General features: G+C 39.4%; 1 protein-coding gene across 4 annotated transcripts in view; it reads right to left on the reverse strand.

Annotated features, from left to right (window-relative positions):
* Nucleotides 1-5,784: 5,784 nt before the first annotated feature.
* The window catches only part of VPS41 (VPS41 subunit of HOPS complex), a 186,218-nt gene continuing 169,582 nt past the window's right edge, over nt 5,785-22,420 (reverse strand). For 3 of the 4 annotated variants that reach the window (NM_080631.4, NM_014396.4, XM_017011988.2), the window contains 4 exons: nt 11,503-11,602; nt 11,353-11,397; nt 9,720-9,799; nt 5,785-9,137 (listed from right to left, as the gene is read on the reverse strand). In NM_080631.4, coding sequence (NP_542198.2) covers nt 9,057-9,137; nt 9,720-9,799; nt 11,353-11,397; nt 11,503-11,602 — 306 coding nt within the window. In that variant the 3' untranslated portion in view covers nt 5,785-9,056. Of the gene's footprint in view, nt 9,138-9,719; nt 9,800-11,151; nt 11,246-11,352; nt 11,398-11,502; nt 11,603-22,420 lie in introns of those variants that run through there. The other variant, XR_007060008.1, reaches the window with a different exon arrangement.

The raw sequence follows: 22,420 nt of genomic DNA on the forward strand, positions 1-22,420 counted from the left end.
GTACTAGGATTACAAGCATGAGCCACCACGCCCGGCCAAATTTCCTTTTCTTATAAGGGCACTAATCATGTTGGATTAGGGCCCACTCATATGACCTCATTTTACCATACTTACCTCTTTACAGGTCCTATCTCTAAATAGTCATCTTCTAAGGTAATGGAGTTAGGACTGCAACATATGAATTTGGGGAGGGCATAATTCAGCCCATAACACTTGTGGTAACATACTCTTATTAATTTTCCTTTTAGGAAAGAACTAGCTTGTGAGAACTAGTAATATTATCGTTGAAGAATGCATTATCAAGCAAAATAGAGAAGAAAGCTGCAAAATAGATGGGAGACACAAGTGGATCCTGCCTTGCGGGGAGGATAGAAGAAAGGACCCTGTAGTGACACTGAATTAATAAGCTAGCCAAAGATGTGGGTATTCAGACACACAACAGATGGGCATAGGATCTGCGTATAAAAATAACAGAGTGTGAGAGTAACTGATAAACCTGCTGTTTCTAGGGGGATTTAGATATGCTTACAGTGGAAAGAGGCCTTAGAGAACAACTTGGCAGCTCAGAGTTCTGTCTGCAGCAACCTGACACATGGTCACCAGCCTTGGCTCAGAGCAGAGCTCCAGGGGGCACACCCATCTGTAGATGGACATCTCCAAATGTTAGAAAGTTTTTTTTTTTTTTTGAGATGGACTTTTGCTTTGTCACCCAGGCTGGAGTGCAGTGGCGCAATCTCGACTCACTGCAACCTCTGCCTCCCGGGTTCAAGTGATTCTCCTGCCTCAGCCTCCTGAGTAGGTGGGATTACAGGCACATGCCACCATGCCCAGCTAATTTTTTGTATTTTTAGTAGAGACGGAGTTTCACCATGTTGGCCAGGCTGGTTTCGAACTCCTGACCTCAGGTGATCTGCCCACCTCAGCCTCCCAAAGCACTGGGATTACCGGCGTGAGCCTCTGCACCTGGCTGATTTTAGGAAGTTGTTTTATGTTAAACCTTTGATGCTACAACTTTCATTGATTAACCTCAGCAACTGGACTTCTGAAACTATGTGAAAAAATGCTATCTTCACTTTCCCCTTTGCATGCGACAAACTTCTAACCCTTGCACATTTAATGTCCTCAGTTTTCATGTTTTTGAAATCATGTACTATCCAATTCCTCCACTAGTTTCTTAAATTTTAAGATTTCAAATTTGATCACTCTCCTAACGACTCCTGTCTGCTTTGTCAAAATCCTTGTTTTAAAAAAATGCCCTAAGCAAAGTGTTCTCAGATGCAGAATGGAGAATGCTACTTTCTGTGAATAGGACGAATAGCCCATTAAAATGCTGCATTCAATTTTCATTTTTAGGAGTCACTGATGGTCCATATTTGTAGTCAAGTAACAGAAACCAGGCTGATTATTAATGGATTGCTGTATTAGTTACCTACTGCTGCATAACAAATTGTGCCCCCCAACTCCCAAATTTAGCAACTTCAAACATTTATCTCACACAGTTCAGAAGATGATCAGAAATCCAGGAATGGCGTAGGTAGGTGGTTCTAGCTCACAGCCTATCATGAGGATATAGTCAAGGTTTTGGCTGGGATTCCTGACTCTGAGGATTTGACAGTAACAGGAGGATCACTTCCAGGTTCACTCATATGGCTCTTGGCAGGGTGCTTCCATTGTTCACCAAATGGGTCTCTTCATTCACAACATGGCTTCTTTCAGACGGCATGATATCAAGCTGCTGTCTCATTACCTAATCTTGGAAGGGATGTTCTGTCCATTCTGCCATATTCTTTTGGTCACACAAACCAACCCTGGTAGAGGTGGGGATCAGGGGACCATCTTGGATGCTGACATTTGTGAAGCATTTGCTACGTGCTAGTTACTCTTCCTGTGCTAGCACTAGCTAAGCATTTTGCATGCATCGTCTCACCTAATGCTGTTGACATCCTCCCAAGTAGATGTTATTATCATCACCCCATTTACATGAGGCAAGCAAAGCTTAGAAATGTTAAGTAAATTGTTGCTTAGTAAGTGATAGAGCAGAGATTAAAACTTAGATCTAACTTCAGAGGAAAATGCTCCAGTTTTCTTACCCAAGGCCTCTTTTCATTTGGACTACTAACCGAGTCTCTCCTGACTCATCCTTGTATGAATAATTTTTTGAGTATAATTGCAGAATTTTGCATTTCATCTCTATTAATTGTGCCATAATTATTAAAAAATTACACAGTAATTTTCATTCTTGAGTCTGTCATTTGTGAGTTCCTTTCACCCTTACTTGTCTCATCTACAAAGTCTCTTATTTTCACACAGAACACGATGTAAATGGATCATAAACCAGGAGGCATAGATGTGTCTATAAAACCAAACACACTAAGATTAGAATAAAATCCTAGTGACAAAATGTATGCAGTTTCTAAACTGAAATGATTTGCCCTCTTTAGCCAGATTTTGTCAACAGAGATAGAAATGTGTAATTTGATGTAGCTGAGTTCACCCAGTCTTTTGAATCCATCTAAAACGGGCTCAATGCCTTTCTCCACTGGTCTTTGGGAAGACTAGTCTCTTGACATTTCTGCAAATTTTAGGGTTTTTACATTCTTCTTGTCTCTTGTGGGCCTAAATTCCTGTTTCCATTCGACTCCAGATCCTGCCTCCTGCTGTTCACTTCTTTCTACTCCTCAGGGTCCCAGATGTGGGACACAGCTAATCAGTTTTCCCTAAAAACTACTCAGAGATGACATCGTCTTTATACCAAACTTTACTGAACATTTGAGGAAGATGGAAGGGTTTAGCAGCAATGCAACATAAAATGGAATATTAGCCTTTCCTTTCTTAAAATGCCCTTTGATTGCTCAGGTTGCTTGATTGACTCTTTCCCTAAAACCCTCACCTCTCAATTCTCCTCACTTTAGAAAGCTTCACTCTTAATCCTCTATGGAACTCTAGGCTAATTCCTGCCTATCTAAAGATTCAATAATTTGCTCTGCTTAGGAGCAAGGAATTTGAGGAGGCTTTGAAGTTTTAGTGTTTCCTCTTCCTCTTCAGCCTCCATTCTGTTGAGCCACCAGTCTTTATAAGTGGAAGTGTGTAGTATAAATATTTCTTTTTTCCTCTGATATGACTTACATAATTTCCCTGAGAAGGCAGAACCAGTTTGGCTTTAAGTAACATTATTTTCCTCATTCTGTTACATGCAGTATTGCATCAATAGAACTACGCAGTGGAGACTGGATGAGATACTTCTTAGGTTGCCAGGAACAGTCATGGTTTCACTAGTTTGCTTGGAGTCATTTATTATATATATATATATATATATATATATATATATATATATATATATATATATATATATATGTATGTGTGTGTGTGTGTGTATATATATATATATATATATATATATATATATATATATATATATATATATATAAACAGAGATGGGGTTTCTCCATGTTGCCCAAGCTGGTTTCAAACTCCTGAGTTCAAGCAATCCTCTCACCCCAGCCTCCCAAAGTGCTGGGACTACAGGCATGAGCCATCGTACCAGGCCTGGAGTCATTTTTAATAATGCCCTTTATACTCTCAAAGTACTCTGATTTGGATCACAAATTATATAATCACTCTACTCAAAGAGGAGTTGATGGAATTTTGAAAATATGTCACTGACATGTCAATATCAAAGCAAAAAAGATTGAGGCTATCTGGAATAACTGGGGCAAAAAGATTAATTTTGGAAAAAAGTGTTTTAACTTGTATTAGTCCATTCTCACACGGCTGATAAAAACATACCCAAGACCGGGCAATTTACAAAAAAAAAAAAAAAAAAAGAGGTTTAATGGACTCTTGGGCATGGTGAGGAAGCAATAAAGATCAACTTGCGTGGCAAAGTCTGCATTTTCCACCATCAGAGCCATGAGGTAGTTCATCAAGTTTTCCCAGCCCAGACAGAGGTGTGGCAGGGGCTTGTCAGAAGCAGCAGGGTTACCGCAAGGACTGATGACCACAGCTGGCTGGGACTGAAGACATCCTAGAAATGATGGCAGCAGATGAAGATGCTGGCAAAGGCCGGTGGGATGATGGCATTCCAGCCAATGCCGGCCTGGACAGAGCTCCACTGAGGACCACCTGCCTCCTTCTAATTGATTCTGGGGCACAAGGAGACCATTCCTGCCACAACACCCAAACTTCAAGGCAACCTAGAAGAGAAGGGGGTGCCTAAACTAATCAAGAAAAGCCTCATTTAGCTGAGTTTACTATGAACTAAATTAAGTTTATGCCACTAGGTAGAATGTGAACTCAAGAGAAAACTTAAAAACCTATTCATTTGTAGACCTGAGTTTGTGGACTAAGATTATACTTGCTTCACAGACAACTGCAATGCAGTGTGACAAGGCAGATTGGTCCCTAGGTACTATATGAGGACAAGTGAGAGGTCTCCTACCCAGTCTGAGGATGTCAGGGTGAGCAAGGAGTCCCGTCTGAGCAGAGTATTGGAGGATGAAGGCTAGCTGCAGTACAGGGGTGAAGGGAACCACAAGTATACTCACAATGGCCAGAGTTCAGGGAGAGAAAAAGGGAGGCAGCGAAGTTAAATGCAATGGGTTGCTTAAGCCAAGCCAAAGACTGCAAGCCCTTTCACACACGGGGCACAAAGACTCCCATGGGACTGGAGAAGGGGAATGGCATGACTTTGTTTTCATTAAGAACCACGATTCTGGGTAAATGTAAAGAAAGGTCTGGAGAGTGGCCAACTCTGGAGACCTGCTTTTGCAGGCTGAGTTTCTCATTCTCGCTCCTGTCTTATCTTTACTATGAATGTTGCATTGATCCTAATGACTCCAAAACCTGTGCTGCATGAGAAAAGAAGGAACTTCATTCCAGATTTCATAAATCAGCATTTAGCTAAGAGCGCCAGGAATGGGTTACAGTTTAGTACCAAAATTGGTGGTTTTAGTAGCCTGTGTCCTGATAATAGAAACCAGAATGAACCGATGTAGTATTTAGCACATAGAAATGTCTCCCACACACATATGTATACACACGATTTAATGTTACTGAGAAAGGGCTTTAGGAGAAACTGAGTAACGTGTACACTTTTATTTACCAATGTTTACTTAAAAGTGACAACTGACACTGCTATGTGCAGCCCATGATCTGATGGTGGTGGGGCAGTGATTCCCTGGGCAGCCCAGTTCTGTGGGGTGGCTTTGTGAATTGCCTGAAAGCTCCCTTATTGTTTCTTTGATTCCCATCAATGATTTTGTAAGCCATTTAACACTTTGTAATAAATCCCTTTCTATTCTAAGAGTGGATTTTGCTTTCTATCCACTGACCAAAACAGCTCAAATAAGTATGTTTTAACAACAAAAAAATCAAATATGCACCAGTTAAGATCAGGCACTCTGAAGGCAACTGCATGGGTTTGAATTTCAGCTAGGTGTTCCACTATCAGCTACCTGACCCTGGACAAGTTACTTAACCTTTACGTGCTTCAGTTTCTTCATCCATAAAATGACGATGATGGTAATAACACCAATTTCATAGGGATACATTAATATAATTAAATAGTATAAGCAAAGTGCTTCTAATAATTCCTAACACATAGTAATTACTCAATGCATGTTTGGTTTTTAATATTAAAATACAGTAGAACCTTGAACAATGTGGGGGATGAGGTGCTGACACCCCATGCAGTCAAAAATCCACGTATAATTCCCCCAAAACCTAACTACTAATAGACTACTGTGGACTGGAAGCCTTACTGGTGACATAAATAGACCATTAACACATATTTTATATTTTATTTATATTATATGCTATATTCTTATAATAAAGCAAGCTAAAGAAAATAGTAAGAAAATCATAAGGAAAAGAAAATATATTTACTACTCATTAAGTAGAAGTGGATCATCATAAGTGTTTCATCTCTGTCGTCTTCATACTGAGTAGGCTGAGAAGGAGGAGGAAGGGGAGGGCCTGGTCTTGCCGTCTCAAGGGTGGCAGAGGCAGAAGAAAATCCATGTATAAGTGGATCCTTGCAGTTCCAACCTGTGTTGTTCAAGGGTCAACTATATATAGCTTTACATTGTAACAACAGCAAAATGAACTACAAATCTGTTGGAAACTTCTCAAAAATTCTCAAGGATGAACATAATTAAACCAGTATGAAATCCCTTTGGCTAAAAACAAAAGCAAACTAAAGTACTCCAAAATAATTTTGCACCTGGCTGTTTTACACTTCAAGAATAGCTTTCTTGGCTGGGCATGGTGACTTACGCCTGTAATCCTAACACTTCGGAAGGCCGAGGTGGGCGGATTCCTGAGCTCAGGAGTTCGAGACCAGCTTGGGCAACATGGTGAAACCTCATCTCTACCAAAGTACAAAAAATTAGCTGGGCATGGTGGTGCGTGCCTGTACTCCCACCTACTCCGGAAGCTGAGACGGGAGAATCACTTGAACCTGGGAGGCGGAGGTTGCAGTGAGCCAAGATCATGTCACTGCACTCCAGCCAAGGCAACAGAACGAGACTCCATCTCAAAAAAAAAAAAAAAAAAAAAAAAAAAAAGAATAGCTTATGAAGTGTGTACTTTGCAACTATGTTCTTCCCCAAAACGAGGGGAATGGGTTTCCTTTTTACCTATATTTTAAATTGGGCTAGTCACACATGAAAAATAATTGACTAACACTTGGATTATTTTGCCATATTTAAGCCCTTATAGGTTGATGAAAAGTAAAAAGGATTGAATATCCTTTAATAAATCACCCAATACTGTTTATTCAAAAGAAAAGACATTCTAAGGAACGAAAGCTAGTGTTTTTTATTAACGATAAAATCTATATTGTTCAGGAATTTTCCAGTGTGTTACAGCAATTTCTGAAATGATAAACGAACATATTTTATTATTTTCCTTTTAAATCAGTTACTTAAAAATGAAGACTGTTTAATTATTTTCTCCTTTTCTATAAGTAGGATTTTCTTTATGTCCAAATAGGACTTGGTAACTAGGATAATTTACCCCTGAAGCAAAATGACTTCACTGAAATTAGCAAATCCTATTGATGATCTTAAAGTAAACTTTTCTGGAAATGAGCTTGCTCAAATCATAAGTGAGGATTAATGTAAATGTAATAAACTGAATCTGTAAATTGGTAATGTTGAAAAGAAAAAACAATTGGGTAAGAACAAAACTGAAAACTAGCAGTGTAGCAGAAAGCACACTAGTCTTGGGATAAGGAAATGCTGAGAAGGCTGAGGGGTACATTCAATAATAACAAAGAGCCTTCCAGTTCTAAGTATTTGTGACTAACAACAACAAAAAAATCTGTTGTTTGCTAGAGAATTCTTAACTCTAATGTGAAGATATGTTCTGTGCATTTCCTTTGAACTTGGCCCTATGATTTCTTTTCTTTTCTTTTCTTTTTTGAGACGGAGTTTTGCTCTTGTTGCCCAGGCTGGAGTGCAATGGCGCGATCTCAGCTCACCACAACCTACGTCTCCTGGGGTCAAGTGATTCTCCTGCCTCAGCCTCCTGAGTAGCTGGGATTACAGGCATGTACCACCACGCCTGGCTAATTTGTGTTTTTAGTAGAGATGGGGTTTCTCCATGTTGGTCAGGCTGGTCTCGAACGTGCGATCTCAGGTGATCCACCTGCCAAGGCCTCCCAAAGCCCTGGGATTACGGGCGTGAGCCACCATGCCCGGCTGGCCCTGTAATTTCTTAAAGGGATCAGAAGCCCTGCTCTGAAGTTAGGCAGTCACCTCTGTGACCTCAACAACATCTCTACATTTTGCTTTCTTTATCTGTAAACCTAGGTTTATCAGATCTTCTTCCTGGCGACGCTGTGACAATTAAATGAACTGCTGCTCATGGGAATGGCTGGGTGACTTCGGTAGCTGGCATGCTGTCAGTACTCACTAGCACCCTGTCCTTTCCCCAAAAAGAAAGAAGCAGAAAGCTGTATTTGTTCCCATTTATGGGACTAAGAGATCAGGAACAATAAGGATGTGTTTTGCGCACTTTTACACTCATTAGAGGATGACCATATATCCCAAGGAAGATGAAGCCAGTAACTGTAAGACACAATTACAAGTTTGACTTTTCTCCCTCTATGATATGCTCTGTTCCATGAGGGCAATGGAGGCACCAGAGAAGGCAAGAGGAAACATCATTAGTCCGTCCTTCAGCATCAGGTGGTCCCACTGCTCCTGAGGCACCCTCAGTTTTCAGGGTCACTGGTTTCCTCCCTCCTGGCAAACTCTAGCCACAAGCGCTCAGACTCGAAGGTGTTGAACTCTCTTTTCTTCCTTACAAGGGTGCCAGAATTCTTAACTGCATTTGTTTATCCCAGTAAAAGTGAGTCCTTCACAATGAGAAGAGCTAACATTTATTCAATCAACAAATGCTGAGTGTCCGCCATGGCCAGATACTCTTTGACAGTCGTCACAGCACACAGAACATGTGATTAGTAAACATAATGGTGCAGGACATCAGCCTGCTAATGTTATTCCCAGGTGTCATCAAATGAGTGACAATTTGTACAATGTTTCATTAAATGCCTATTTAGAGGATAACCATAGTTGATGACACAGAAAAAAGCCAAACCCAGAATGCAAGAATCGTAGCCAGCAGAGCACGTGGAAACAACGTCCAAGTTGCAGGTAGCAGCTTGCAGGATAACCACAGTTGGCGACGCTTTCAGGCAGCTGGGAGAATTCTCAGTTGTCCATTTTATGGTTAAATGGTTTTACTAAGGTCTAAAAAATTCATTTCTAACTCCTAGACTTATGTTTCCATTACTATATAAAGAATGAGCCAAACAAATAAATAACAAAATATTCACTATGGACCCCAAAATTTCAAGGCATGAAGAGAGCCCCAAATTCTCTGTGAACTGCAAAGAGAAACCATTAGTACAGGAATAGATGAAGAAATTGTTTTTGAGTATAATATAAACATAAACAAATCTCTTAACAGCACGAGTGTCAACAAATGCTTTTGTTGTTGCAAAAACAGTCTCAAAAAGAGTGGTGACAAGGAGACTGACAAGGAGAAATGAGCTATTTTTTCATCTCCAAAATTGCACTTCCTGGTCCACGGTTCTTAGCACTGCAGATGTTGCAGAACTGTGCAGCAGAGTTCTAAAAATGCAATTTAAAAACACATATTTAAAAAATGATCTTCTTTTTCTACTCTCATATTCAGAAACACTAAGGTAGCGTTAGTCAGGGGGTGGAGAGGAAGTAATAGGATGGCACTCCTTTCTCTGGAGTTTATTTCTGGTTAACATAGGATTTAGTCTAGATCAGCTGTTACTCTGTGACTCCAAGGACACCCAACAGCAGAATACGTCTAATGTGACCTGGAGGAATATGACACTAAAAAAATGATAGCATCATGGAACACAAATCAGGCTGAGAAACACATAAGATACACAATGGCTCTCTACTGTTGTTGCTCATCTCTACAGCATGACAGCTGTCAACTGGGCCTGAATGAATTCCTTCAAATGGGTATGCTTTTATGTTTACTATAGTACATAGAACATTTCTAAATATTTTTACATTTGAAAACTAGATTAATTTTTGTTATGTGATATAAATCCACATTGTAATTTTTTTTTAACCCATACAGCCATAAGGATGAAGGGTTACAGTTTAAAGCACATTCCTCTAAGTGTGTTAATTTCCCTCTAGTTGATAGGTGCCAAGCTGCCAACTCACCATGCTGGGCATGGGCAGGCACTCCTTGTGGAACATGTGCCGGCAATGGAAGACCACCACGCTGAAGGGCTTAGCTGCATCTGGCGAGGAGGGCAGAGAAAGGAGGAGAACTTAATGCAACAAGCAAGATCATTTTAAACCAATCCCGACTGAAAGTCGAGTTGCAGTTTAATTTTCAGCAATAAGGTGCCTTTAGAGAATGGCTTATTTACAAAAGCATTCCTGAGGGGTGGTATGATCAGACACAAAACAGGTATTATAATCATGTTGCTATGCGATTCACAGGTTACTTGCTTAGCCTCTGTGTCACTTACCCAGACTACATTGAGGACAACTGTAGGAAAACCAGCAAGTGTATGTGCCAATGCGCCCCTAACCCCTATAATCATTATACACCACAGCTGAAGTTGAGTCTGTGGCTTCATAAAAATGCTTTGCCAGTCCACCTGCTACCTTTGCCAAGACCACACACTGACTCAGAGGCGGACCTGGGTTACAAGCCCAGGCTGTGGTGACCTTGCATTTTACTGCACTTGTGCTTGGGCAGATCCCCTCATCTGTTCCTGCTCTGTGTGGCCAGCTTATTTTTGGTAAGATTTAGTGTCATCAGCAGAGTAAATTTGGAGTTAAATCTAACTGTAGAGTGGGAATGTATGTGGTTCCTTTTTGCTGCAACACTGTCTGAAATGCTATGGAAGCTCACTTCTTCACCTGAGCCCATGCAGTTTTCAACAGAAGCACTTAAACATCCAAATCTAATTCCTCTAGAAAAGAACCTAAGTAGAACAACTTCTCATGGACTGCCCCATGAAATAATCCTTTAATCCTAAGTAAACATGAGGTCAACTAGGTCTTTTAGTACTTTGTTATGCTGAACTTATATTTGAAAAGCATTTGTTAGCATCCTAACAATGCTTTGTTAGTTTCCGCTTTTGAATTATGCAAATTTCTTCTGTCATAATAAACCTTAAGAAGGTGCTTTTCATTACAGATGAAGACATATATCTATCTGCCAAGAACTAGAAATAAACAAATGCTTATGTCTTTTAAAGACTCACAGTTCCAATTAGATGGCAGGGATTATGTATGTTTCCACTGAAATGTGAGATGACTTGGGCATGTAGAACCATATATCAGAGAAAAACACTAAAGAAAAGGGAATGCTACCTATAAATTTTTTTTCCCAGACATGTATATGGTTCTTCTACCTTGAAATTTAAATGCTGATGGTTAGTTTTCATTTTGTTTTTACCCTAGACTAGCAGTTCTAAAAGAAGGGCCCCTGAACCAGTGGCATCAACATTACCTGGGAACTTGTTAGAAATATACATTCTCAGTTCCTGCCCTGGAAGTTTGGAACCAGAGACTCTAGGGAGTCTGACTGGGTCAGCGATCTGGGTTCCAATAAGCCTGCCAGGTGACGATGACTCACCCTAGAGCTTGAGAACCTCAGCTCTAAGCAATGGCAGCACCAGCATTCCACTGAGCAGGATGGAAGCCACAACACTTCTCTCCACTGGGTTATTCTGAAAGTTATATAGTTTTATAAACGGTAGTTGGCTAATTCCAAAATTTTGATTCCACTCATCATTAAAATACATGTTTGGGATTTTTTTGGGGAAAACCTTCTTACCTGATGGAAGAATAGGGGAAAGGCACGACTCACAGATGTTCTCCTCTGTAAGAAAACACACATACTTTGGATTATGCCCTGTTTATACCTGCTTGGCCATTTCTGAAAGCAGGGCACGTGGTTCCATATGATTATTTCAATTTTACCCACCATCAACAAGAACACCTTTCATTTGAGTTCGGTGCATTTTCTTCAGTAAGGACAAAGAGTCAGCTACGAGAATCTTCTTGCAGCCTTCACGAAGCAGAATCTAATGCATACATTTTAAAAGAAAAGCCATCTTAAGTAGACTCAAATCTGAGGGGTGAAGGGACACTGTACTGGGGATTCCAAAAGCTGGCATGCTTGAAATACTCAAAAGGGGCACTCACTGATTCTCTTGCCCTCAGTACCCTCTTCCTGCCAAACCACTGCCAGGCTGACCTGGCCAGCCAGGATCCACTCATTACTCTGTGCGTCATTTCATCATTTCTTCCAACCATACACGGGCTCCTGTAGCATTTGTATAATCAAACATAAATTCCAAAGTCTGGCAAAGAAGGCCCTATATTAACTAACCCTATTGCTACTTTAGAGGGCTTCCTTATACAGATCCTCTTGGGCAGACTTTGGCTCCTACATCATGTGTTCATTCCATTCTTCAGATCTTTACCCAGAATGAAAACCTGCTATTCCAAAATCATCAATTTATTTCATAAATTAATCTATTTACTGCACAAATAAGTACTGGGTCCCTATCACGTATAGGGTACTGGGTATAGATAATAAACTAAACAGATACAATCTCTGTCTTAAATCCCCTTGAGGATGCAACCTATCTTTTTCTTTCCAAATCTAATCCAAACCATTCAGCATAGTGCTATGAATGTGGTGTGTGTGTGTGTGTGGTATTAACTGACTATAATAACCTTCAAATTTGGTGACTCCTGGGAGGGGTTTGAAAAATGACCATGAATACAAATATTCTCTCATAAGAGTCCTTTTCTTTATTCTTCATCCCAGCATTATAGCTTTTGTTTCTTTACACATTTTTCTTATTCCCCTGCAGGCTTTTTACTATTTCCTCCCTTCCTGCCTGGAGAATGACAAGAGACATCACAATGCTTTGGCAGCCTCAGAAGTCAGAAGCACACAGTGGAGGATGATGCCCATTTCTGGCTGGTACCAATGTTGTATTTCAGAACTGGAGGCACGATGGGGTCCAAGATCCTCCCCTGCTTTTAGGTGGGGACACAGCAGGGACAGGCGACACTTTACCTTTCATGTCCATTCTGTGGGGCACAGTGTGAGCTCCCACCCTTTGCTGGGTTTTCTTAGGTATTAGTAGGAAACTGAGAGGCTCCAGGAGGTGTGCATAAGCCAGATGTCATTTCATTTATTATTATTATTTTTTTTTAACCAGAACTTGTTGCTGCTTTTTCAGAGGGAGAAACTCAAGGCCTGAAGGACAGAGACGCTCTGGGGCTGTGCCTGTGGCTTCTCCCTTTGGGCCCTATGTGTCTTATCATACGCAGTTATGTGCAGTTACACATGTCACATCATAGAAGTTCACATTAACAGACAGCGCTGTCTCACCACAGCCCAGCTCTGAGGCTGAGAAGCATGTGTCTTTCACGGGCAAGTGCCACTGTTTAGAGGGGGCACTTTGGCTTTCTTCATACTGAAGTCACTCTCGACTTGACAAGCTAGATGGGCATTTTGCTTTCATAAGTTTTAAATTCATGCCACTGGGGAAGAAAAGTAAGGGAGCAGCCAACTGCAGCCCTCTATCCTCAGTGGTCCACGTGTTCCTCTGAAAATCCCAAAGAGCACTGGCTTTGGGTGAATCCAGCCGAAAGCCTTTTTCCCCTAATTATACAAAGACAAATTAATATTCAGGAAAACAAAACTAATGTCTAGATTAAAGTTCTATGCCTGCCATTTCTAGTATTGATGAACAGGAAATTACATGATTTTAGTATTCCTACATTAATTGAGAAACTGCCTATGAAGTTTTATTCTTTAAAATTCTACCAGGAATCAATTTTTTTTGGATTTTTAAAAAAATACATTAAAATTTTAACAGACTGCATTAAAACATACAGGTAGAAGAGAAAAATAACAAATACAGTAAGAAAGATAGCTAAGAAATATGGATGTCAGGAAACTTTAAATAAATTTAAAAGCAAACATATAAAGCTGCTTAGCCTCCAAGACAAAAATAAAAAACTTAAGAGTAATGGTTTCAACCACAACATCTCAGATAAAACAATTTTAAAAAATGGCTCTGACTCTCGTGGGTGCTCCAGGCCCATGGCATGAATTATATAAGAGAAAGGCAGGGCCAGCAGTCTAGACAGAGGCCACTGTGTCTACAAGCTAAAAAAGAAAACAGCAAAATATGCAAACCAGGAAGGAGCCATATCCTCAGCAGGATTACATTTTTCTAAACAGGTACAATCTGTCCGCCTGCAGATAGCATTTTCTAGGAAAATTCATTATTCAGAGGCAAACAGCCAGGAGAGGGGAAAGTACACAAATACAGCTTACTGCTATCTCCTACTTCATTTGGTCAAAATTCAAGGCTCCCAATCAGAAAAACAGGAAAACATTTTAAGTTTCATTTATATGATCCCAGGCAGGTATTTCAAAATATGAGACTATCCTCTATAGAATGTAATCATTTATTCTATAACATCTGTAATAATGTGTAGGCAATTAAAGGTGATAAGTGAAGGAAGACAGTACAAGATTATAATGTACTACAATCTACAGGTATTGCTTTCAACATCAGACATAGGACAAGGCATTATGTTGACTATGGATTCCTAGTAGCAACTCCATCAGTGACTCATGAAAAATGTGCTGTTGTTCACATTCATTTCACCCTCAAAAATTCATACTTGCAATTTCCCATGAGTGTCTTTTTTATAAAGACACTGATGGCCAAAAGTCAGATGCCACAGCAGTTGGCGTAAGCAGGTCATCCTCACCTCTTTTTGACCTTCACACTCATGATTTTGGATGACTGCTATGTTTCAAGGTCATCTTACCCAGCCTATCTTCGCAACCACAGACTATCATCACCTTCCCCATCTCCCTTCTAACTTGCAAATGTGATGTTCTTTACATACTTAGGGCACATGCACACTCTTCTGTTACTCAGGTTTCGATGACCAGAATGGCACTGAGCACTGCTGCTCTTGATCTGAGCACTATCTTTCATTATTTTGTGCTATTTTTCTTTTTAAAATATGAAATATTAAAAAAAAACTGAAAACAAAAAAAGACCCAGTCCCTACCACCTAGATTTAACAAATCTGTTGATATTTTCCCACGTGCTTCAGATCTCATTCCAGAAAATAAAGTATTACAGACACAGCTGACACTTTCTTGCCCTCTACCATTCCTGCTCCTTCTTTTCAAACACAACTCCAACTTCATTTAGTGTGTGTCCAGCTGAAATATACAGCTGGCTGGGGCTCATGTAACATAGATCTGGTCAACAAGATAAACATCAAGCCTGGGAAAGCAGCCCTTTCAAATCAAAAAGCAAAGCCTCATTAGGAAAAAACCCCTTGCTTCCCGCATGTGCCATATGAAGTGTGGATGTAAAGCCTAGTGATACGGCATCTACTTTGTCACCAAGAGGCAACAACCCTGAGGTACACTCTCCTGTTAATGCATGCTGAGGTTATGTCCAGTTTAGGGCTACTAAGGAAATCCAAAGGACATTCTTGTACAGATCTTTTTATGGAACTGATTTTCATCTCTTGAGTAAATACCTAGGAGTGAAATTCCTGGGTCATGGAGTAGGTGTATGTTTAATTTTTCAAGTAAATGACAAACAGTTTTCCAAAGTGGTTATATAGCATTTTATACTCCCACATATTAAGTTGGATATCTAATAAAAATATCTTCCCTCTTGAATAATAATCTTACTCTTAATTTTTATGTTAAGAGTTAGGACCAGTTTATTAATTTCCATGAAAAATTCTTTGGATATTTTGATTAAAATTTTATTGAACATACAGATGATTATTTTAGGGAGAACTAATAACATTTATGATATGGATGTACTTTTAACAATTAAATAAATGGTCAAGTTCAATTTGCTATTGATTTATGTATTATTTTTGCATTTGTGTTTTTAAAAAAAAGATAGGGCTATAATTTTCTCATACTGCCCTCACGTAATGCTGGTATTAGGGTTACACTAGCATTCCATAAGGAACTGAGGAACTTTTCCATTCAATTATCTGGAAAAGTAAATGTAACACAGAAGCTGCTTTTTATTTAGTTTTATTATTTTTAATTAATTTTTTTTGACAAGGTCTTGCTCTGCCACCCAGGCTGAAGTACAGTAGCATGATCAGAACTCACTGCAGCCTTGACCTCCTGCACTTAAGTGATCCTCCTGCCTCAGCCTCCCATGTAGCTGGGACCACAGGCATGAGCCATCACGCCCAGCTAATTTATGTATTTTTAGTACAGACAGGTTTTCACCATGTTGCTCAGGCTTATCTCAAACTGCTGAGCTCAAGCCATCCGTTCACCTCAGCCTCCCAAAGTGACGAGATTACAGGCATGAACCACCGTATCCAGCCAGCTATTTTTTAAAAGGATAAAACTTGTCTCTAAAACTGTCTATGGAATAAGTGCCTTTATTGTAGCTATACATTTTGACTACCAATGTAATTTAGTTAATGATTATAGGTCTATTCTATTTGCTTGAGTAAACTTTTACAACTTATTATTTTCCTAGAAAATTGTACAGTTCTTCTGAGTTTTCGAAGATATTGATATAAACTCGTATTCTTTGTTTATTTCAGGTGTTGAAAACTTAGTCTGCAAGGACTTTGTTTTTTACGGTTATGCTGGTTGTTTCCCCGTGCCTTTTTCTTAAACTTTATGGAATTTGCAAATACATTTTGTGATGTTTCCTGAAGGTTTATAGACTACAGAAGCTTATAAGCATGCAGTTTTGAAGATTATGTCCTCCTTCACACCAAAAGTAGTTTTTGTTTTCCAAAGTATGTCTAACTGGCCTTTCAAAGATCAATCATTTTTAACCCACTAAAAACTTTCTCACCTGTTTCCTCCTGTTTTACCCTGGTTTCTTATTCTCTGTGTTGGACAGCCTCTGATATCACTTTCAGAACTTAAAACTAGTTTGAAACATCTCTATGAAATATCTCTACTTGGTAAATTAAACAGCACCATTATTAACCTTTGCTTTGTAACCTATGTCTCTTATTAGAGTATCACTGACAATCGGATGGTTGTGGTAGCTCACACTTATAATCCCAGCACTTTGAGAGGCTGTGATAGGAGGATCTCTTGAGCCCAGGAGTTCAAGCCCAGCCTGGGCAACATAGTGAGACCCTGTCTCAACAAAGAATTAAAATAAAAAAAATTAGCCAGGCATAGTGGCGCATGCCTGTAGTTCCAACTACTCCAGAGGTTGAAGTGAAAGGATCACTTGAGCCCGGGAGGTCAAGGCTACAGTGAGCTGTGACTGCACCACTGCCATGCTCCAGCCTGGGCAACAAAGTAAGGCCCTGTCTCAAAACAAAACAAAAAGAATTTCACTGAGGATAAACCAGTCTTTTCTTTCCTCAACTTCATAATGGTATTAATTTTCATCTCAAAAAATACTTGTAGGCATAGCTTAGAAAGTACAATATTATCTTTCAGAGATTTATTTTCCTTACAGGACTTTCCTATATTTTTCCAAGATTATTCAAATCTAGGGGTCAATTTCTTCTTACATCCTACTCCAGGATTCTTGTTTTCTTGATATTACTTTGTTTCCTTCCATAGTTCTAAGTTTTTCTAAATTACATATTTTATCAACGTGACCTTTACTCTTCCCTTTTCGTCATTTTGAAGTCAACCAGCTATGGCTTCTATAAACAACCTGTTACATATTATATTTTGTGCTACTGTAAATTTAAATAAGAATGAATTTACAACACGACTGTTGAAAATCAACATGAGAACTTAGATTTGCCTTATCTTCCCCCTTTCTCCTTATTTCTCTGCAGTTCATCATCATTGATAATAATCCCAACCAAAAGCAAAACACCAGACCCACAGAGATTTTATAAAGCAATAAAAGAACTGTATATCAGCAAAGTTATTATGGTTCATTAGAAACAGCGGCCATGCGAAAAATGCCATCAAAAGTTGCCAAGTTTCTGAAATTTTTATTTTAAAAGATTCTTCGAACACTAAACATTTTGCTGACATTGCCTTGTTCATACTGCAATGCTTATCATTAGAACTGCAAATGACAGACAGCTACCTGGTTTTAAAAGCCCCCAATATGACACAGGGTAGACTGAGAAACTTTTCCCCTCATTTCTAATCCTTCCTTTAGGTCACAATGCTATGGGACTTGAATTCTTCTTGAAAAAGCTTTGCTTTCGGCTGGGATTCTTATAAAAATGATGAACTGCAGAGAAATACGAAGGGAAAGAGATCCTAAGGTCTTATGTTGGAGTTCAGAAACAATCTTATAAACACAATTGTATTTAAATTTCTAATAGCACAAAGTATGGATGTACCAAATTAATTTTAAAAGCTACAGCTGGTTGTCACAGGCCACCTATGTCACCTAAAAGCTGTGATAAGGCAAAACTGAAATAATTTCAAAAGGAAAACAACAAATCTCATTTGGTCTTAAAAGTTTATTTCATGAACATATAAATTCAAAAACTCTCTCTTAGAAGAAAATTAGGAGCTTATATACTGAGAGTCAAAAAGAAACCCACGTAGGCCCAAAAAAAGGTTAGTAAGAAAGAAGCCATTATTTCCTCTTATCCCATTTGGATTGCAAAATAGAGATATGGGAAATAAAGGACTATGGGGACTGCAGCAAATGCAAATTTGGGAAAATAACTTTGGAAGGCATGGAGATGTCTGAAATCAGTTTATCAGTTTGGATGAGGTATGTGTGTGTACATGTGTGTGTCTCTGTGTGTGTACATGTGTATATGTGTATGTGTGTGTGTCTGTGTGTATGGTGTGCGTAGTTTAACAAAATGGAAGTGTTAAGGCATTTTACTTCTCCCAGAAACATCAATTTAGATCATGAGCAGCATGAACAAAGGGCTGTGTCTCGCTCATCCCCAGGTCTATGAGACCAAATGGAGGCCCTGTTAGCACAGAACATACTGTCTGACACAGGAGGTACTCATGTATCTGAATAAATGTGTTTATAAGTCATCAAGTATATGGCACTTTGAAAACAACTATTCCATGAGACATTAAGGCCTCTGACAGCCCCTCTGTTAAGAAGACACCCATCAGTGTTGCTGACTTCATCTGAGAAGGGCTGTCCTGCTACCTAGCCCCGGCCAGGGTTCAATCCAAGGGGCAGTTGGGAGGAACAGGGCAGGGGAGGGAAGGGAGTCAAGGGATGGACAATTTGTCATTTTTTTTCTTTAAATAAATGTCATTTTTGAGGCAAAAGAAAAAACCGTGAAAAATAAACCCCAATTATACCTAAAAATCTAAGCTGCTTTATTAGATCCCAAAATAAATATTAAGGCTTACATTAAAATATTAAGTTAACATTAAATATGCAGCTGTATTCAATATGTAAAGAGATATTTATAAAACGCCTCTGTTAAGAACTTTAGAAACAAAAGATATTTTAGAGATCATCTAATCTCAAGGTTCTCAAATTTCAATACATAGACTAGTGCCAGACTAGGTGTGTAAGAAATATCAAGGTGGTTTAAGGACATGCTCCCTAGTCCTTCCCAAGAGAGTCTCATTCAGCAGATCTGGGCTGGGTGCCTGAAACTATGTAACGTATACAAGAATCCAGATGATACTGGTGTGCAGCCAGACTTCACAAACACTGGCTTAATCTAACTGGGAAGCCAAGCTCCAGAAAGCTGAAGTGCCTTACCAAAGTCTCAATAGGCTTGTTAATGGCAAAGCCAGAACAGGAGCCCACGTCTGCAAATACCATGTCCACCGCTCTTTAAAAGACAACAGTTGCCTATTTGTCTTCCATGCCAATTCTGTATGTGACTCTGGCATAAACTGCCAGTACAATGAATGCATCTCCAGAGACCAAATGGGCCCAGCAGTGAGAGATACACAGGATATGATGTGGAAGACCACACAACAGCACTATGTAGATAGTCCCTTTTTATCCAGAGATAACATAAATGAAGTACCTCAAGGCACTTCACAGACACTGCTAGAATAGAAAGGAGGATGAGAATCATAATTGTAAAACTGAAAGCATGAGCACCAAAAAGTTTTGGCACATATTTGTCTTATACATGGATTAAAAACAAAAGCATTCACAAATAGTTAAACCTAATTATAGGGAGTGGCAAATCTCATCTACAAAGCTTCTATCTCAAGAAAAAGAACAGTACAGGGTGGATTTTCCCTCCCTCATCAGGTGAGTTGACCTTATTTTCAATATGCAGAGATTCCACATTCGCACCACTTTTGAAAGTTGGTGGAAAAGGAAGTTGGGCAATGCCTCCCTTAGATTGGTAGCTGGGGAGAGAATTATCTATCTTTAAAAAACTAAAATAAAAACAGGCCAGGCGCGGTGGCTCACACCTGCCATGCCAGCACTTTGGGAGGCCGAGGCAGGCGGATCATGAGGTCAGGAGATGAAGACTATCCTGGCCAACATGGATAAACTGTCTCTACTAAAAATACAAAAATTAGCTGGGTATGGTGGCACGTGTCTGTAATCCCAGCTACTCAGGAGGCTGATGCAGGAGAATTGTTTGAACTAGAGAGGTGGAGTTTGCAGTGAGCTGAGATCACGCCACTGCACTCCAGCCTGGCGACAGAGCAAGACTCCGTCTCAAAAAAATAAAAATAAAAAATAAAAACAAAACTTCATAACCCTAGTCTTGGTCATAGATACAGACAAAATAAAACATAAATCAAAAGCAAGAGTAATGGCAAGCATTACCCATGAAAAGAAAACTTAAAACTGCCAAATTGTAGGAGGCAGAGCAGCACCAAGTGCACAGGCTTGGAATCCTGGCTCTACTGCATGACATGGGCAAATCATGCAACATCTTCTAGCTTCAACTTTCTCATCTGCAAAGCAGGGGCGAGGGCCTGCTGGGAGAACCACGTGGCATGATTCTGCCAAGTGTAAAAGGATACAAATATGGGGGTCGATCACCACAATAACACAAGTCCAGAGGAGTTTCCATCACAGTGGAAACTCCTGAGTGTTGTGTCCATCTTGTAAAGGCTAAGTTTCTGTAGTGATCTTTGAAAGTTTTGTAATCCTGTGACCCAAACCAGTGCCCAAAGCTGAACATCCTGCTCCAGAGAGAAATGTAGAGAAACCTAACTAGGCAGGTGTTGGCCTAAAGGCAATTCAGCTTTGTACCCAATGCCTTAGATCCAGTTAGCCTTAAGAATGTCTGCAGCCCCTAAAGCATCTAAGATGGACGTTTAATCTAGCCCCTGCTCCCTTTTATTTTTCTGGGGAAAACAGAGGTCCAAGGATGTGCAATGACTTCTTCAGGATCATCTACAACTTTCCTTAAGGGTTAGACTCACACCAGGGACTCATGAGGCTTAGCCTGGTGAGATTTCCACTGCACCATGACACCTCTTTAGAAGCAAGTTAAACATGCTTGCTATTTTCTTTTCCCAAGAGGTGTTACCCATAATGAAAAAAACTAAGACCCCACTCTAATTAGCAGATTTTTTAGAGATTACTTGTGGCTGTAAAAGGTAATGTAGTCACTGATTTAAAAAAGGCATGAGATTTAGTCAGAGGATCTGTGATCTGTGTTCAAACCCAGTTCATCACCTTCCCAGACTGGCAAATCACTTAACTTTTCTGAGAGACAACCTTCTCATCTGTAAAACAAAGATGATATTTCCTACAGAAGTGTTGTGAAGATTAAATGTTTGTCAAATAAAACCGTCAAAAGAAGTCTTTAAGAACAAAGATGCTGAAATTCTCAAGGGAAAAAAGCCTCCAACTACAAAAATGGACATAAACGCTCAACAACTACATGCTAAATTTATAATGTTTTAAAAATAGAAAATGTAAAAACATTAGAAATTTGTAGCATAAACTGGAAACTGGTCAGTTTACATAAAAACTGAAGTATAATTGATACCATATTGTTTTGGAAGTTATATCAAAATAAGTGCTATTTGTCCTTGAAATCAGGCCTAGGAACATTTAAAGCTTATGAAGTGCAATACATGCCACTTGCATCTTACTGACTTCATGAAGCTTTTAAAATTTGTGCAGTGATTACACTAACAAGGTAGCCGGGTATAAAAACATAGAAAGTTAAAGAAATTAAACACTGCTGATGTAGTTGATTATACTACTTCCTTAAACTATGTCATGTCATAGGCATCTAACAAACCTAATGATGCTAACCTTCGGTTGAAGAGAGCTGTTACATTTTAGAAAACGTGAAACTAAAAGCAGAAGAGTTACTCATTTCAAGTTTTTCCCACAACATTCTCTAACCCGCTTTTCCAATTAACAACTGGCTAATGAATGATCTCCCAAAGCAGTGCCCAAGTTTTAAATGCTGTATACTCTATTGTCAATCTCCCTTTAGAGATTCCCAATGCATACCAGCAAGAAAAGGTGCTGAGAAGCCCTGTGAGAACATTTCCCCAACATCTGACCATAGATCCCTACATTACTGAATGGTTCTTGATAGCCCCTGGGGTTACTGTCCCACCCAGCCCCATCACACACACAGTCACTTCCAGATTCCTGGAAATTGATGAACATGCAAAATTTCTCCCAAATTTTCAGATTGAATAGGGTTGCTAATTTTTTACTTTGCTAGGTGAGAGTATGTGAAAAACAACATAGTTTTATAAAATACAAAATAAAAAAAGAATAAAATAAAAACATGCAAGTGAAATCCTTCTGGAAATTGCAAAATGCTCTCTGGATAGATTTATTTTTACAGTGAACCCTAATAGGTTGCCTAGAGAAAGGAAACACATTAAGCGGTCATTAATACATTATGTAAAAAGAGCAGAAAAATATTTTAAACTCTTTATCTGTGAGGGAAAAATAATGCCTGGAATTCTTTGAACC

Source organism: Homo sapiens, chromosome 7 (assembly GCF_000001405.40).
Source record: "Homo sapiens chromosome 7, GRCh38.p14 Primary Assembly".
Lineage (NCBI taxonomy): Eukaryota > Metazoa > Chordata > Mammalia > Primates > Hominidae > Homo > Homo sapiens.